At 46.3% G+C, this 19,494-nt stretch overlaps 1 annotated feature.

Annotated features, from left to right (window-relative positions):
- Positions 13,079-13,373: a silencer, noted in NCBI's record as "tiled region #3848; HepG2 Repressive DNase matched - State 22:ReprW, and K562 Repressive non-DNase unmatched - State 22:ReprW". NCBI's record gives its function as "represses a minimal TATA promoter and a strong SV40 promoter by Sharpr-MPRA in HepG2 and K562 cells {active_cell/tissue: HepG2 | K562}" and the evidence as "EXISTENCE:reporter gene assay evidence [ECO:0000049][PMID:27701403]".

Below are 19,494 nucleotides of genomic sequence, written 5' to 3'. Positions count from 1 at the left end.
CATCAACTTTTAGTCAGGGATTATTGCTCTATGAAGAGGGTGAGAGTGTGCATGTGTGTGTGTGCGTGTGTGTGTGTGTGTGTTAATGCAAACTGCATTAAGATGATTCCAAGCATTCTAATAAAAACTGACAAGACCACTTGGCTTAATGCAAACTACATTAAGATGATTCCAAGCATTCTAATAAAAACTGACAAGACCACTTGGCTAGCTTGGTGTCTCCCAACTTCCCACTGCCTGGCTATCTTAGTCCAACTGTGTTGCTAGAAAGGAATACCCGAGGCTGGGTAATTTACAGAGAAAAGAGGTTTATTTGGCTCACAGTTCTGCAGGCTGTACAGGAAGCATGGCACCAGCATCTGCTTCTGGTGAGGCCTCAGGAAGCTTCCACTCATGGTGGAAGACAAAGGGGAGCTGGCCTGTGGGGATCACATGAGGAAAGAGGGAGCAAGAGAGGGGTGGGTAGGGGGTAGGTTCATTGTAACAAGCAGCTCTCGCGCTGTGAGAAAGGCATGAAGACATTCATGCCTTGGGGGATCCACTCCCACAACCCAAACACCTCCCCCAGGTCCACCTCCAACATCAAGGATCAGATCTCAGTATGAGGTTTTAGGGATCAAAGATTCAAACTACAGCACTGGCATTCCATCCAGCACCTATGTCCATCTGAGGCTGAATAATCCAGCTGTCATGTGGGTTAACTCCCCAAGCCCCTTGTGTGGCCCTCTTCCTAGTCTACAGGTGCTAGACTCTGGAGCAGTGCCCATGATGCAGAAGTGCAGCCCCCAGCCCCAGGTGTTTGCCCCTGCATCTGGCATCTGAGCAGGAGAGGAATCTGGGGTAGGAGGCCTGGTAACCTGGTTTGGAGGTCAATCTGTTCCCGGGGTTTCTCTCTGGCACACAAGTCTGACATATCAGACCCTCCTCTGGACACGGTGGACAGTTTTTCCATTTGCACTGTTGGTTTTCTTCCCCTTTTTGTGTGCAAAATGATAGGCTATCATTTCAGAGCCTGCCAGTGCAGGATGGGGCGGGCTTTCTTGAAGCACTTTATCTGTTTCTATTGTGGGCCTCCCTGGCTCTCACCCTCTGCCCTTTGCTTAGTGCCAAGCACCCCAGGAAGACCAACCCAGGGCTTCACAGAATGGGTCAGCACCTTGATGCCAGAGCTCTAAGAATGACTTCATGCTTTGGAAGACAGCCACCGAATGGGAAAACCAAAAATGACAGATGACACTTCAGGAGCTGGTCTCGCCAAGGCCTGTGCAGCTTCCTGCCATGTGCTCAACTCACTGGCTTGCCTGCCATTCTGAGGAAGGGGCACTGAGCAACAGCTGCTGCAATTGCCTGGCATTTCCCCGCCGACCCCCCATCATTCATTCACTCATGTATTCATCCGCTCAACACAAAACATCCTGTAGATGTTTCCGTATAGCAGATCATAGAGGGACAGACAGTGGGTAGGTGAGGAGGAAGGGTGATGCTGGAGGAATACTAAAAATTTTAGAATAGGAAAAAAATGCTCTCCCTCCCCTTGCCCCCCACCCCCCAAGAGCATTAGGACAAATACCTAATGCATGTGGGGCCTAAAACCTGGATGACAGGTTGGTAGGTGCAGCAAACCACCATGGCACATGTATACCTACGTAACAAACCTGCACATTCTGCACATGTATCCCAGAACTTAAAGTAAAATAAAAAAAATTTTTTAAAGAATAGAAAAAAATGAATGCAGTCCACTCCCACAAACAAGAAAGCATTTTAAGAGCAGTACAACATAAAGATATACCAATAAGAACACTGTTACAACAACAACAAAAATATAGAAGGCAAAAAATCTAAACTTCCCACAGTAAGGGATTGGTTGAATGAGACACAGTAAGCACGTGTGCGCCGTGCATCCGAGAAAATGAACGAGTATAGTTCAGTGTGCAACGACAGGCAAAGATCCCAAAGGAGCATCAGGAAGCAGAACGACAGATGGGCACTGAAATCAGCCCATTCTTCTTTAACAAAAACAAATATAGATTCAAGTCTACGCTTTCAAATGCAATGAAAATTTCTGGAAGGATAAATAAGAAACAGTTCACAATCTTTAAATAATTGAAAGGAAAAAAAAAAAACTGTTGACCTGGAAATCTACACCCAGAAAAAAAAAATCTCTCAACAATGAACGCAAAATAAAAACTTTTTCGGACATACAAAAGCTGAAGGAATTCACCTCCAGCAGAGCCGCACTACAAAAAATGTTTAAGGAAATTCTTTAGGCAGAAGGAAAATTATACTAGGTGGAAATCTAGATCTACACAAAGAAATGAAGAGCACCCAAAATTGAAAAATAATCTCGATACCATTTTGTAAAAATTTTTCCTACAGAAACTCACACTTTGCTCTCCTTTTCTCCTCCTATATCCCAAGGTAAGATGGTTGATGCCAAACTTTAAAGAATTTCATAAAAATGTTAATCAGTGTTAATATTATTGAATATCACAAATCTAACACTCGTAGCTCATAGCAGTTACTCATTAAATGTAGGAGGAAGGATGGAAGGAAAAACAGAGGGAGAGAGAGAGGAGGGAAAGAGGAAAGAAGAAAGAGAAGAGGAAGACAGGAAGCAGAGAAGGAAGGGAGAGAGGGAGGGAGGTAGGAAGGAAGGAAGGAAGGAAGGAAGGAAGGAAGGAAGGAAGGAAGGAAGGCAGGCAGGCAGGCAGGCAGGCAGGCAGGCAGGCAGGCAATTTTTATTTCTCGCCTGTTGCTGCATCATTTGCCCTTCCCTTGCATAAACCGCTGCCTCCCTGCTCCCCTCTGAAGAGTGCTCATCCAGCCGTCATCTCCTGGGACCATGTGAGAAAATAAGAATGAGGCTTTACATTCTGGCTTTCCAAGGCTGTGGCCTCCATTCTAAGGACTTACAGGATATTGAACCAACCACCCCCAAAAGGGAGCACTTTGTTCAATAACTGCAAGACCAAACAGCAAGTCTCTAAAGCCACAGAAGCATTTCTACACCCTGCACAGGGCTTACACCCTGCACTGGGTTTGCAGTGTTGACAGGCTCAGTGCATTCCTCCGGGGCTTCTTTGAAATTAAATCATGTGTAGCATATTTACATTCTGCTCCCAGATCTTACCGCAGGCCAAAGAACCCTGATCTAGCCTGACTGTAATGAGCCCTCATTAATACCCTGCATCCTCAGGGGTGACACAGGGTCCCGGGAATGTGCCCTTCACTGGGCTGAGCCTGCACATTGTCAAGACAGCCCAATAATCTCATGACAAATTAGTCCAAATGATTACCTAGTACTGTGTAAAAAATATTCTGGCAGCGTTTTCTTCACTTGTTACCGGTCAACATGCTCTGTGGATCTTAGGTTTTATCTTCATGATGCAAAAAGCACCCAAGACTGTAGTCAGCTCAGTCAAACAATTGTCCATATTGGTGTAGATTAAAAATAACCCTTGCCAGAACTTTTCACACTTCAAGTTGCTGTGGTGAACAGATACTGATACAAAGTACTGATTCAACACAGATATTGATACAAAGTACAGTATCAGTACAGATACTGATACAGATACAGATGCTGATACAAAGATGGATGTCTAGAGGGATATAGATACAGATACAAAGACGGTGTCTAGAGAGTCTTAAAGAACGATCTTTTGTCTCAGCTGGAGTGAGTCCTGTCCCCACTGGTGGCATAAGACCCACTCTGACATTACTGGGAGCAGGTTATTAGAAGCCAGGTCATCATAGGTCTTGTGTATGCTTGTGGCTGGGGAGGGACCTCAGCAGGACAGAAGGGGCCCATGGAGCTGACCTTCCTCAGGCCAAAATAAACAGGCTCTCTGTGGTCATTATTTTAATTAGATAATTTAATCGGTCTTGACATGCTTTCTATACACAGGCAAGAGCACGCCCAAACTGCTGCTGGGTCTGTGATATGGGAAAAGGTCTGATTTTTCCAGTGACTCCTGGATATAAAAATAAAGAAAAGGGGAGGAAGAGCTGTATTAATTCTTTTCCCTTCATGCAGTATCACTGAATTTTTTCCAGAGGTATAACGAAGAAAACAATCCTCCGAACCAATTTTTTCAAGGAAGTTATTCATTTTTCCTAATCTTCCTAAAACACCATGATTGCAGAAGACCCTTTGTCCCACAGATGCCCCTGTGTGAAGGCTGGTCTCCATTAACTAGTTCAGCCCCAGTCTACGCTTTCTAGGGGGAGGGAGCAGGGAGAGGGGGAAAAGGGCAGAGAGAAGAGAGGGGAAGTGAGGAGGAGGGAGCACAAAGTCATGATGCTTTAGTGTTTAGAAAAACATAATTAATTAAAAAAAACATTTGAACAAGTTTCTGCTTCTTTTCCAAAGCAACATAATACTCCTTTAGGCAAAGGGATTAAAGAAATGCAGGGTCCATGTTGAAATTATTTTCCAGGAAGACTTTGTTTCTGCTCATCCAAAATTTTCTTCTTTCCTGGAGGGTGGGCTCTAGATTTGGCTTCCCCAGAGGCAGTTCTGGGACATTTTGTAGGCCTGGCTGCCTCTCCCCTAGGGTGCTCCCAGACGCTCCCCAAAGGAGACACGCTGGTCACCAGCTTAACACTTCCTTCTTACTCTGGAAGCATGAGCAACTCAATTTTTCTTTACCCAGGCAACCAGAGCCCTGGACTCGCATTTGCTTTCTTCCTGCTATAAACTCTAAAATCCCTGTACAAAATAAAGTCACCCCTACAAATCTGTGTCAGTAATTCCCTCCTGATTCCTTCCCTCAGGGCAGCTCCCTGCAAACGAATGGCATCTCCATGGAACAGGCTGTCCTCTTACAAAAAGACAGGCCCCAGCAAACCAGAAGAGATTATGGACAACCCCAAAGACACAGGTCTGGGAGAGAAAGAAGCAAGTCTCCTGTCTTTCTGTTCCTGGTTAAGACCCACTGCCCTGCCCAGCTGCTGACACTGCAGCAAGCAGCCCTAACCAGGCTGACGACACCCACCTCATGAGGACAGTTAGATGCGGGGATTAAACTACAGACTATGACACTTGGCACTCAGTCGGCGGCGGGCTTCGTCCTGTGCTGGTCCTTGCTATTGCTATTGTGGGTTTCACATTCATGTACTCTTCTCAACTAAGAAACATCCATGAAATCTCCTCCCATCTCATTTGCCTGCTGAAAGCCGACCCAAACAGAATTATAACAAAGAGGGTGTTGTTCCCCTGTAAGGCACTCTCTAGAATTTGGCTTGGAAAAGTAAATTCAATGTAGTGACATCTTCATCATTTAAAAAAATCTATTCTTTTCTTCTTTAATCACATTATACCAGGATTTTGAGGTTCCATCAGCCCATTTGGAAATGAGGAAATGGGGACAATGTGGCTTCGTCCTTGCAAGTGGCTTTAACAGAGACAGCGAGGCTCCTACGTGCAAGCCTCAGAAGCTCGCTGCCCACTGAATTCTGCTGCTTTCCCAAGAAGTTTAGTATCTCGAGGGAAACATCTGGGGGCGCGTCTGGGGGAGGTGAAGACAGCATCCAGAAAGCCCAGCCCCACACTTCAAAGCCGACTTCCCAATTCTGAAACGAAGGAAGTTTCATTCTTTCCCACATGTCTCTGCCTTGCTAAATATAAATCCATCTCGGTTTACATTATGCTGCCTCTAATTGAATCTCATTCTTCGTTTGTTTAATTCAGAAACAATAAGCCATCCTGAGTGGCTCGCTGGGAAGCTTGCCACCGCGGCCAGCCTCAGTTCCCAGCAAGCCTCCCGAGGGGACGAAGGGACGAGGGGACATGGCCGGCCCTGCCCACAGGGGCTCGCTGCACATCACAGGGGCACATCTGGGTTTAAAAGGTAAAGACACAAGGACGGTCCAGTTGTAGGAAACCCATCCACATAATTCCCACACTAAGGAGTCAAAGAGAAAGCTTAATACCCAGTAGGTGCTGAAGGGGGCTGAAGAGCATTAACCCTTCATTCTTCCTTGGTTTTAACCAAAACGTCCTAAGTAAAACAGGAGCCCATGGTACTTCTTCAGCATGACAAAATTCATCCCTCAGATCTAAAGCCAACATTAACTTACCATCCATGGTGGAATTTCAGAGACACTTGATGGAAGGTCAGAAGCAAGATAAAGCTGTTGCTATCACCCCTGTTATTTATTATACTAAAAAATATGAAAAGGGAAAGAAGGGGGGGAGTACAGGAAAACTGTCATTATTTGTAGATGATATGATTATATACCAGGAAACCCAGGAGAATCTACTGAAAACAAATAGAATTAGAATTTGGTAGGAATCTGGCTATAAATTCATATCTAAAAATGTCACTAACTCTCAGAAGTCTTAGTTTATAGTTCAGTATAGTTTTCTTTCATTCATTTGGCAAATACTAAGCACCTACTATGTGCCAGGTGGCATTTCCGGATGCTCAATATACAGCAGAGAAGAAAGACTGCAGGCCAAGTGAGGGATTCAGAGACAGGGGAGGAACTGCAGATTTTGTAGGAATAACAGAGAAGTCCTTTCTGAAGATCTGACTTTATATGAAGTCCTGGTGAAGCGGGGACACCAGGCAGATAGAGAAGGACATCAGGGCTGCTAGGTGGGCTTGGGAAACAGCCTGGGGGAAGGACAGGGCATCATCCAGAGATGAGGCCAGAGGTCACTGGGGATCCTTCAGGTTTGGGAGGCCACCAGGATGGCTGAGGCTTTTACTCTTGAGAGGGTGTTCAGCACAGGAAGCATATCTGATGTTCCCTCATCAAAACAGAGCAGGATACAGTGAGACACCACCTCACAACATTAGGACGGCTACTATCCAAAAAAAAGAAAGAAAATATCAAGTGGTGGTGAGGATTGCTTTTGTTGCAATTGCTTTTAGTGTCTTCATCACGAAACCTTTGCCTGAGGAAAGGATTGTAAGCTGTCCTTACAGTGCTATGAATCACTCCGGTTTGTGAGCTTTTGGCTCCATGATTGCAATGTTTAACTGCTCTGTAGACAGGAGCCAGGCCATGCCCTTAACTAAAGGTGGAAGCTCAGGTGAGACCCAATACCTTCCAGGGCCACCACCTCTGAGGTCACTGCTGGTTCAGATCATTGCAACATCTTCCAAATCAAAGCCAAGCCCGGAGTTTCTGTGACTCTGGGTTTTCCATCTGATGTGGTTTTTGAAAATACAACTAATCCTTAAAGAGCAACTCTTGTTTCAAACCACAGCTCAAGGCTATTTTCCAGGAAGGAGAACAAGCCCTGCTCTGAACTTCCTCCTCCCTCTTTCATCTTAATGACCAGTTAACTTAATTCACCACCCAACTGAGCCTTGGTGGAAGGACAGAGGAAATGGAAAGTCCTCAGAGAAAGACCTGCCTTATAGAACTGTCCATGTCACCCACCTTCCCTCCCCCTTGCAGTGGTCCTGAGCCACAAGCTGTGAGCTGTCTCATCCTAGATGCATCTCAGGCCAGGCTCAGGCCTCACTGCTCCCCTGAGAATGTTCTTGCCCATTCCAGCTCTGGACTTCTAAATTCTATGAAGGTAGGAGTAGCCGTTTCCAGTAAAAGGAGGAAATAAAAGCAATATTGGCTGATGGCCAGGGAACAGCTGAGAATGATCACTTTGAATCTTCACATTTCTCTGTCTTCAGATATTTGCTCTAAAAAGACATATTTCCCCCATAAAGTGGTTCCACGCCATTTCTCACAGCACATGTGATGATTAATCAGACAACAATTCTCAATTTAAAGCCTTTTTGCACAGTCACAGGAAGTGACTTTTCCAAATGTTCTATTTGTATGCAGTGTAGCTTATAAAAGAGTTTAGAAATGCCACCCCAAAATACACCACTCTGATGGCATATTGAAATCACTCTTGGCGATTTCTTCAAACCGAGGGTACTTGGGGAATAGCAAATGCAGGAAGGGGCTTTCTCTGAGCTCCTCCTTTCTACCCAAAGACAGATCTTCCAAAGGAACTCAGATGTCATGAACCCCTCCCCAGGCATCCACCAGGCAAGAGGGAACTGAAAGCACAGCAGAGGAAACTGGAGGTTCATGCCAGCCAGCCAGACTTTGCCACAGACAAAGAGTTAAAGTCATTTACCCTTCCCTAAGTTGTCTCCATTCTCCTTCCCTGTCCCCTACGAAGAGCATATATAAGCTTCTAGATCTCACTAAAGGGAAAGTTTTCCCTCCCTTACACTTACAAATGCAAAGCATTGTCCAAAGTTAGCAGCCTAGTTGAAGCCACACCTAATCCTGCTGCACCAGCCAGCCTGAGCATTCTGCAGTCTCTTCATCAAGTGCCATGAGAGTTGAGTGAGCCCGAGAAGGTGGCAGGAGGTGTGGGGCGTAGGTGCCACTCAGAACTCAGAGACCTCCACCCACACAGTCCACCAATGCTGTCATCCAAAATGAGTGGTGTATGATGGTGTGGCTACCATGTACTAAGCAATTGAAACGTGCACTGCATTGCATGAGGCCCTTCAAGATAGCACATTTTATCCTTACAACAACTCTATGATGTGGATCCTTCTGTTTTTCAGATAATCCCTGAATGCTGCACATAGGATGCTGGTTGTGACACTATGGCGTGGCAGGCATCCCACCTGGATCCCTGAATTGTGTCACTCCTGAGGCCTAGGTATCTCTGGCCCCAGAGAGAACAGGCTGATGGAGTAGGCCTATCTAAGCCTAAGTTGCCCAGGAAACAAGAGAAAACTCATCCTAAAGAACAAAAGACCAACGTAAACATCTATGGCTAAAAGAAATGGGTCAGACTCACGAGGGAAGATGACTGTGTGCACTAAGGACACTACCAAGAGCCTGCCATGCTTGCTGGCCCCGGGCTCAGGCCCTGCTGATGCGCACCTGGGGGAGGAAACAAACAACTGTGGAGCCGCTCTCCCAAGATGCCCTTAGGCCACAAGCATGGCCACGGTGCGTCCATGGACTGGCTCTGCGGGGCAGCATGCTGACGGTTCCCTGATGGCCACAGATGGGGCATGACAGCAACGTCAACACATCCATGGCCCTGAGCAGCAGGCGCTGTTAGGCATCGATGGCCTGTCCCAGACCAGGATGACATGGAAGAGAAAAGGCTCAGAATTCATTCAAAATCTTTGAGGCCAAGGGCCTGGACCATCTATTTGAGATGCCCAGATGCTTTTCTGAGCATTTTCTTTCACTTGCCTCATTTCACTGAGGCAAGACGGCTGGACAGTGGGCTGCAGCAGACGAAGTACACCAGCCTCAAAGGTGTTCGGTGTCACCTGCCTCCCAGAGACAGGGTCTTAGAGTTCGCTCTGTTCACCCAAGGAGTCCTTCCATGGCCCTTGTGGGCAAGTTCCCCAATAACTTGATTTTTTTTTCTACTTACATTTCACTGTCACTCCCAGCAAAACTCAGTCCAGCTCGGTTCTCCAGGCTGCACACGTGGTCGCGGTGGCCCCCAAGCTTCTCTGAGGCTCAATAGTAGCATTTCTCTGTTAGGCTTAGCCAACTAGGTAAGCTTTTAGTTTGAACAAAATTACTCACTCATTTCTTTTTGTGTAGCCTTAGGGGTACAAATAGTTTTGGGCTACATGGATTAATTGTATACTGGTGAGGTCTGCACCTATCACCTGAGTAGTATATATCGTATACAGTATGTAGTTTTTCAACCCTCACCCCACTTTCCTCTCCCCAGTTCTGAGTCTCCAGTGTCCATTGTACCATTCTGTTTGTCTTTATGTTCGCATAGCTTAGCTCCCACTTATAAGTGAGAACATGTAGTATTTGGTTTTCCATTCCTGAGTTACTTCACTTAGACTAATGGCCTCCGGTTCCATCCAAGTTGCTGCAAAAGACATTATTCTATTCTTTTTTACTGCACGTCTCTTTAGACAATGCCTTCCAAATTTCTCTTCAACATACAGCTTTGTTTTTCTTATGATTATAAAGATAACACATTCAAACAACACAGAAAAGAAGAAAAAGGAAAGTCAAGATCACCTAAAATCCCATTTGCTCATCGTGAAATGTACAAATTGTGCAATACCAAACCACTATTTCTGGTGTCTGCTGCAATGATGGGCCCAAGGGGGCAGGTGTGATTTTGTCCTGCTCTGCTAGCTCATCTCTGTGGAGCGAACACATATGGGCTGCATGTCCATGGGATGGGGATCAGGCAGCCGCGAGGAGCCGTGGGGACTTCACCGCACTGGCTGTGCTGCTGTATGTGCTTTGACTTAGAATTGAGGCTTGTGCCTGCAGACCTTCTTTAGGCACATAGAATAAACAAGTAGCAAAGGGAAGGTATTATTGTTGTGTGACCCTGACCGGCCTAATTCCCGGAGCCTGCTTCCTCCCCTGTGTCATTTCCCGTCCTCCCCTCGTATCTACCTCTGCCCAGTCATGATTGACTTTTGACAGAGATCACTCAGCTCCTGACAAACTTTCACTGAGACAGAATTGGCTTAGTATCTCCTAAACCAAAGAGATTTTGCAGGAACAGCAGGATGTCAACGCTAAGAAGTGGTAGTCCAGGCAGGGAAGCTGAGGGACGTGAATCCCAGGGCAAGCAAACCTAGCAGGAAATCACCCCTGACGAGGACCAGCGGGCTCAGGCTCAGGATCCCAGTCAGCACAGTGATGGGGTCCCAGGAGCAGTCAAATGAAGCAAGGCTTCAGTGTGGCCTGTGAATTCTGTGTACTCTCCTAGAGAGTATGCTTTTGCACACATGACTTCAGCCACAGTTCCCACAGAGCCAGCGCCGGATGAATGGAAGGCAGGGCGGGTGGGCTAGTGGAAGGGAGGGGCATCCTGAAGCTTGGAAGGAGGTAGAGTCACCGCTGGTGATGCGGGGAGAGGCCTGGCCCTGCCAGCACCTCTGTGTGCTATGGCCCTCTCGAAGTAAATGGGAAGATGGTGGAGCTCCTGGATTAAAAGGCACATAGTCCTAGAGGAGACCTACACGGGACTCACCCAGCTGCGATCTTCTGGAAGGGGATCGCTTCTCAGGAGAGAGCCTTGCTGCTCCTAGGATTTGGTGGACTCGGAGTAGCAGGAGATTAGCGCAGGGGGAGGGCCACAAGGAGTGTGAGGGGGTGGTGAGTGTGGAGTCGCAGGGGCACTGCGTTTCCTGAGAAAGGCAGGAAAACCTGGGAAACGCTGACTCCTCCTCTCACCTTCCATATCAATTCCTTGTGAAATGGCAGTTCCGGCTCCTAGTATAATGTGAATCCCTCTCTGCAGCCATTCCCTCTGCCCAGGCCACCATCCCCTCTCACCCGGGTTAAAGCGCAGCCTCCTCCCTGGCCTCTGGCCTCCAGCCTTGTGGCTCTCCAATCCGTTCTCCCTATTGCAGCCACAATCATGTTATTTATTTACTTATATATGTATCTGATGCCATCTACCCTGCGAAATGCCACCAAAGTGGCTTCCCTTAGCTCTCAGGAGGACATGCAGACCCTGCAGCTTGTCCTACAAAGCCCTCCCCACCCCTCCCCTACCTGCTCCTCCATCTCCACTCTCACCCTGTCCCGACTCAGCTGCAATGCTCCTACCCTGCACCATGGCCCCAGCTCCTCCTAGTAGGCATCTGTCCCTCACCTCTAGGCCTCACGCCAACTCCTGTTCCCTTCTCCTAGACCATCTGTGATGGTTAATACCAAGTGTCAACTTGATTGGATCGAAGGAGGCAAAGTATTGATCCTGGGTGTGTCTTCGAGGGTTGCCAAAGGAGATTAACATTTGAGTCAGTGGGCTGGAAAAGGCAGATCCACCCTCAATCTGGGTGGGCACCATCTAATCAGCTGCCTGTCCAGCCAGGATATAAAGCTGGCAGAAAAATGTGCAAAGGCCAGACTGGCTTAGCCTTCCAGCCTACGTCTTTCTCCCTGCTGGATGCTTCCTGCCCTCAAACATCGGACTCCGAGTTCAGTTTTGGGACTCGGACTGGCTTCTTTGCTCCTCAGCTTGCAGATGGCCTATTGTGGACCTTGTGATCATGGGAGTTAATACTACTTGCTAAACTCACATATATATGCGTGTGTGTGTGTGTGTATACATATATGTGTGTGTATATATATGTGTGTCTGTGTATATATATGCGTGTGTGTATATATATACATATATATCCTATTAGTTCTGTCCCTCTAGAGAACCCTGACTAATATACCTCTTTCTCGCTTTTCACCTTGCCTATTCTTGAAGGAGCTGAAAAGGCACTGACTGTTGCGTTCCTTCCTGATCCCACCTGATTGGGTTATTTTCATCAAAGGGAGAGGTTCTCCACCCTGGCTGCAAAGGAAGGTCTCCTGGAGAGTTTCAGTACCAATGCCCAGGCCCCATTCTCACCCAGAACAATTAAATCAGACTCCCTGGGGTGCTGGGGGTGGGTAGGCTGGCCAGACCAGGTGAGTCTAACAGGGAGCCATGTTTGAAAACTACTGACCATGGGGTCAGTTACGCTGTGCTCTGCTCCCCAAGCGTCCATCCTGTACTTCCCACATCAGGGCACTACTGTGAAATGAGTGACTGGCATTGTCAGCACATCGTTCTCATCATAGTCATCACTGCTATCATGGTCATTCTTGCATGCCATTCTTTTTTGTTATTTAGAGACAGGATCTAGCCCTGTCACCCAGGCTGGAGTGTAGAAGTGCACTCATAGCTCACTGAAGCCTCAAGCTCCTGGACTTATGTGCTCCCACCTCAGCCTCCTGAGTAGCTGGGACTACAGGGGCACACCACTATGCCTGGTTAATTTTTTTATTTTTATTTTTTGTAGAAATGGGGTCTTGCTATTACCCAGGTTGGTCTCGAACTCCTGGCTTCAAGCAATCCTCCCACCTCAGCATCCCAAAGCGCTGGGATTACAGGCATGAGCCACTGTGCCTGGCCCCTTGCACGTTATTCTAATATCCATATGTCTGTTTCTATTTCCACATTTAAAATTTGGAGACAAAACCTCTCTTCTCTGTCAAGCTCCTTTCCAAAGGATGGTTAATTTATAAAGGGATAACACCTGCTTGCTGCTTGGCCACCTAAGACACCAGGTGCTACATCTCCAGTCCCTTCTGCTGTTCTGACTCAGGAAACCAAGCCAACGAGTGAGGCCACATGTTGGACTTGAGCTTGCTGGAGGCTTTTAAACTCCAGTTGCAGGTGCCAAAGCATATCTGCGCAGAAAGGCTCTCTTAGCCATGGTTTGGACAAAGAACCGTTCTCGTCATTGTTTATTATGAAAAGCTTGCAGAGATTCTTGTGGATTACTCAACAGTGCCTATGAAGCTGACCTCTGTTGATGGCTGGGTGATACTAGTGTCATTGTTTTTAGAGCACAGCTAATAACACTGGCTAGAATCACTCAGGGCCAGTTAATCAGAAGGAAGAGGCGATAACGGCATCTTTATGATATACAGTGATGTGATAAGATGCAGACGTAATGAGAACTCTTTTCTTCTGGAAAAGATTAAAGACATAAAATCCTGGCTTGGGAAAAAAAAGAGTCTTTGTCCTGCCGAAAAAAAGTGACCAGATGTCTTGATTTAGACAGAACAGGGCCTGATGTTTTAGGACCAATCCCCCATCTGTGCAGGGGGATTTTTTTTCTTTTGGTTATTTTCCTGTTTCCTGGGTTTATGAGGCCCCACCTAAAATAATCTGAACTTTCCTTGGAGCTGGCCTTCCTCCCCTGGAAAGCAGTGGTCCCAAGCAGAGACAGGAGCAATGGGGCTCAGGGCACACTGGACCTTCCCAAGTATGAAGAGGTGGCCGGGGAGTGCGCACTGAGAGGCTTCCCCAGCCCCCATAGGACCATAGGGGTGGCATTGGCCACTTGCTGAGAGCAAGTGGGACCCAGACCTAGCCACCAGGTGAGGACCATGGAAACACGTCTGATTTTCCTTCCACGAGTACCCATCAAGTGGACACTATGAACCATGTCATAGCGATCAGAGGAAAAATCCAAAGCTTTGGGACAGCTCTCCAGGAAGATGGGCGTTTGTACTTTTCCCACTGCTACATAGAGGAAAGAGTTGCGTTGGGTGTCTTTTCTCTTCTAAATTCAGTGGCCTTGGTGGGAGTGGGGTGAAGCTTAGCCGGAGTTGGACGAGTGTGAATCTGCCTCTAACCAGCCACGTGGCCTGGAGCAAGGTAATTTCCCTTCTTCAGGTCTCTTCCTTCACCTGTGAACTTAGAGGGCTGGCTGAAGACTGGCCCTAAAGTCCTGACAACTAGGACTACATCCACCATGGTTGACACTGGCTGTCATGATTCTGCACAGAGCCCGGCACACAGCAGGACTGCAATCAAAATTGTGGAATGAAATCCTGAATGCCTCCAGGAATGAGAGCACCTCTGAAGGTCCCATTTGGCCCTCAATTTTGTGATCCTTCCCAGATTTTTTTTTAATTATTCAGCCTGCAAAATTTTCACTGAGCCCGGCCCTCAGTGACTTTGCTCATTGAGCAATGAATCCACGAGATCTTTCTAAATGCTAAAACCCCTGTGGAAATTCCCATAGGAAACCAAGAAAAAGTAAGGCAAAGGGAGAGATGAATCATGTTGAACAGCCTCTAATTTCTAGGCTCCAGGTGGCTGTGGGATGCTCTACCTTTGAAAATATGATCTGAAACCTACTATTGCCAATTATCAGCTTTTTGCCTTTAGACAAGTGGCGTGAAACCTCTGAGATTCTACTTAAACCCATCTGTAAGGCTGGACAACAATTGCATTGATCACACACACACACAGAGCTGTTTTGTGATTAAATGGGAAAATATTTGTGAAAGCATTTTACAGCAAAAAGTGCAATCATGTGCCAGGCTTTGCTATTTTATAAGCCCATGTTATCTCTAGGACCACTGTAAGTGGAGGGATGCTAAAGGCATTGACTGGTGCCACTTTAAAATCCAGCGAGACAGGCATCTTCAGAGCATGCCACTCAGTGCTGCCGCTTTAGTATTTTGAACATCAAACAAATCTTCTGGAATAACATTTTGATGTTTTTAGTAGACACAAGTGAAGACCATGTGGATTCACTTTCACTGCATATACACACCAGGACTGAGAGGAACGTCCTGGGGAAGGAATGTGAGATTTGGTAGAACCCAAGGTTTTCAAAACAAATACAATAATTCAAGGAAAAGGAAAACTAATATTTAAGGAGTGCATGATATTGGCCAGACACTTTATACATATTATCTCATCTAATCGTCACAATAACCCCATGAGACATGGACAGCGTTTATAGACAAAGCAACTGAAGTTCAGAGAGGTGGAGTTTTTGCACATAGTCACAGAGAGGACCAAAGCTAGGACTCGAACCCAAGTCTCACAGAAGCTAATGCCTCTGAATTCTCCTGTGCTCAGCACTGAATGGGGTTCCTGACTCTCTGGGTGTAAAAATGTTACCTTCCCTTGGAAAATATTACTCTCCCCCTGTGCTTCCTGGATCTTAAAAGTTCTGGACATTGATATGTTTTCTTAGTCCCTGCTGGGAATGATCCATAAAATGGCCTCACTTTGAGAATCAATGCCAATGACCACCGCATTAATACTGAGGCAGAAATGCATTTCCAAGTGCATTTGCTTGCTTATTTCATAAATATTTATGTGTCTTGGACACTTGGCCACATCTCAGCCACATCATGAAATACCATATTTGGGAGCTTTATATTGGAGCAGAAGATCTTTGATAAACAGTGTGGAAATCATCGTGTAATTCACTAGCACTTCCCGGCTTTGCTGGAAGCATCTGGTGAGTTCTCCCACTGCATTCCCAAGAGGGCACTAGCTCACTGCCTTCCCATAGGAGAGAGAGAGAGCACTCAGTCTCTTCTCCAGCCTTCCAGAGTCTTTCCAGCAAAATGGACCCCACTCACCTGTTGATGGGGCCCTCGGTGGGGGAGGGCCTGGCAGAGCCTTCCATCAGGCCTAATGATGTGCTAACCAGCACATAGGGAATGAGAGGCACCAAAGGGAACGTCCTCCTGCTCTCTGTCCCAGGTCATCACGACACCACAGGTCCACAGCCAGAGCTGGATGCACAATCTGTGTGCAGGGCATTGGGGAGGAGGAAAGTGAATGGACACTCCAGGTGACTGTGTCCATCCCTCCCCAATGGGCTTTTCCATCACCCTCTACAGACAAAGACAAGCATGGGCTTGTTGGTGGACACAGCTTCAGTTGATAGTGCATGCCAGGACCACAGTGCACGTTGTGCTTGATTGACCCTGGGATGCCATCGTATCCTCTCTGCTGTCTGACACACACAAGTCTCAGAGATGCTTGATTGCAAGAACTCACTATTAATCAAGCCAAAGATGGGTTTCTAATCTCATAAGTGAAAAAACCTTAAAGGGGAAAGTTTTCTTAAGTTGACATTTCACTGTTTTGCTTTGCGGAAAACACATTTATATTTAATAGCATTTTATAGCTTATAAGGTATGTTTATTTTTATTAGCCTCATGTACCATTATCACAACTCCTAAGGTAGTAGTTATTGTTATTCTCACTTGAAAGGTGTGAAAACTGGCTCTAAGAGAGGTTAAAATATTTGCCAGTGGTTGTCCACTTTGGTACTAAGGTTGAAACTTAAACACAAATCTTCTGGCCAAAAAGTCTGCAATTTTTCTACACCACCTCTAGATTTCTTGACATTTTGCTCATCTTATAGCCATTGGCTTCTTGTAGATAGGAATTACATCTTCTTTCTACTTGTTACAGAGCCCAGTATTAATGCAAAATGCAAAACACACAATATTTTCATACTGAGCTTGTACTGAAGACTTTTACAAAATAATTGAGTAGAGGAAATTAAATACTATTGAGAACAATCAGGTTATTTCTGTTATTACCTCCCCATAATCTGCCCACATCACTGTAATCACCATGAGAGCATGTTTTTTCTTGTTTCCATATTATGAGTGTACCTGTGTTATTTTTATTGGCCACACAATACTTTATTATGTTCATGAACCACAATTTCAACCCATTTCTCCATTTGGTCCTTTCAAGTTATTTTTCCATTTTTTCCTTAAAATAAAGTTGTAATGTGTCTGATTTAGGAAGCCCAAAGCTCAGGAAGTTCACCCCTGTGTATACCTGTTGTGCCTCTTCTGACATGCCCAGTTGGCCAGACAGGTGGAATTCTGGTGTGAACCTGAGCTACTTATTAAAAATTAAAACTTCTGAAGCTCGGGTCAACTGAATCAGAACCCCTCTGGGAGTAGGAGTCAGGAATCTCCATTTTAACAAGCTTCACAGTGACTTCACACACCCTAAGGTTTGAAAACCCCTAGTTAGTTATGTGAACTTAAATAGAGCTGGCTTCTGTAGTCAATTTCATGCCTTTAATTTGAATACCTGCATCTAGTTTGTGTCTCTAAAGTCTCCACACCATTACATAGCATCTCGCATATTCTTGTCCTGAGAACACAAGGACAGGGCTGGGGGACTCTGAGTCCTCAAGGAGTCGAGGGTCAGGCTTCATCTCAGCCAGAGGAGGAGGCTGTCTTTCAGTCCTTCACACCCGATTCAGTAACTGGCCGGTGGGGGAAGGCTTCTGTTTGAAAATATCCTTGGCAATTTCTCCAACAATTAATTACCCAGCTGCTGCATAAACTCTAGTATCAACACTCAAGACCACCCAACAGAAAGCGTCAGGCACACTTGCCACATCAGCCCGCCATCATTGTGCACATGCGTGTGTCTGTGCGTGCATGTGTTACTAAATAAAAGGGACCACAGAAAAGGGTATGTGAGATTTTCTCAAAATGACCCCCAGAAGAACCCTACAGAATGTATTTTCCAAAATATCTATTCAACTTGAACTTGGAAAATACTCCTTTTTACAAAAGTCGTGCCCGAAGTGCCTTTTGGCATTCACAGGCGCTGCAGACAGGCGCTGCAGCGTGGATATGGAATACGTTCGGAAGCTTTGGGCTTCGTTGGTACAGATGGGAACAGCTCTGCATGCCGACGGCTGGGCTTACTGCTTTGTACCAATAGAGTTCCCAAAGTCAAAGCCACCCTTGCTTGATGCGTGGAGAGGCAACCTACATGAGCAGGGCTCTCTTTATGGTGATTTCTCTCATGGCCAGCTTGATGTCTGTGGCCGCAATATCAGAACGTTATAAATAAAAGCCTTCAGGTTTCGGAGTCAAACAGCCTGGGATCTGAATCACAGCTCAGCGGCTTACCAGCTGTGTGGTCTTGCATGACTCAGCCAACTGACCTTATCCTCAATTTCGCATCCATAAAAGGGGAATCATTGTAGGATGGTGTAGGGATTGAAAATAAGAAGAAATGCCTGAAGCCACCCTAGAAACCTCTTAGAAGTGATTAAAAACAAGTATTTTAATGGTCTAATGATCTCATTCAATTCTACCAATATTTACTGAAGGCTTGTCATCTACCAGGCATTGTTTCAAGCACTTGGGACAGATGGATCCATGCCTGTATGTAACCACCTCATGGCTTTAGAGTGGCTCTGGGACCTTGGGTAAACCAGGACAGGGCAGTAGGTTTTTATCACCATTTTCCACTTGCATCTGCTGCAAGCCCAATGGAGATAGAAACCTCAAAGTGCTGACAATGGTCTCCAAGGATTGCCTCAAGGACATTGCTATTGTTTAGTATTTGTGGCACATCAGAACCAGCAAAGTACTCAAGAGATGTGCTGGGGCTGGAAGCCTGGGGCGCTGGCCTCTAGCCTTGGGTTTCCATTAACATACTGTGGGATCTGGGATCCTCTGCTTCATTTTCCCTGCCAATAAGTTGAGACCAGTGTCATTGCTGAAGAAGTCCCAGTAAATGAGCCTCTGTCTTCCCCATGAATAAATTGGGAATTAGAGTAAGAAGTGAGAGATGAGAACCCAAACATCAGCTCATTACTGATAAGAGGCAGAGAGGGCTGACCTGGACAGCAGGCAGGCCCCCATGGACCCCACAGACAGTCACTGCTGCCTGGGGAGACAAGGTAGAGTGGGGGAGAGAGGTGGGGGGTGGGAGAGAACTCCCTGCACGCAGCTCACGCGGAAGAGTGGATCTCACCGCGCATGCTCAGCCACTCCCCCAAATGCATCCATCCAGCCATTCTCTCCAGCTCCTCCAGAGAGGAAAGGGGTGGTAACATGAGGCCAAGTGGGTGCCGAAAGAAAATCTTCGAAAGTAGGAAGAGCCGACGCTCTTGCCTCTAAAATCTAATCAGATGCTGTCCTATTCAGTTGATGGATCAAGTCACCGTGAGGCAGAACAGTCGAGACGTTCCATGGATCTGAACTGCTGTCTTGTAGTAAGAGCCAGGGAACCAGGACACTCCCTGGAACATCCAGAGGCCTGATTCTGCCAGAATTCTGAAGATACAGAGAGAAACTGCTTTGAATCCCTTATGTGAAGTCCAAACAAGCCCTAGAAAAGCATTTCTCAACTTACTACTTGCAACCCATTCGTGGGTTGTGAAATTATAATCAAGTTTTTACAAATTAAATGTAATTGTCTATATTGGAGTA

This window comes from Homo sapiens, chromosome 18 (genome assembly GCF_000001405.40).
Source record: "Homo sapiens chromosome 18, GRCh38.p14 Primary Assembly".
NCBI lineage: Eukaryota > Metazoa > Chordata > Mammalia > Primates > Hominidae > Homo > Homo sapiens.
Note: the sequence above shows the minus strand (reverse complement) of the source record. Positions and strands in the feature narration are given on the sequence as shown.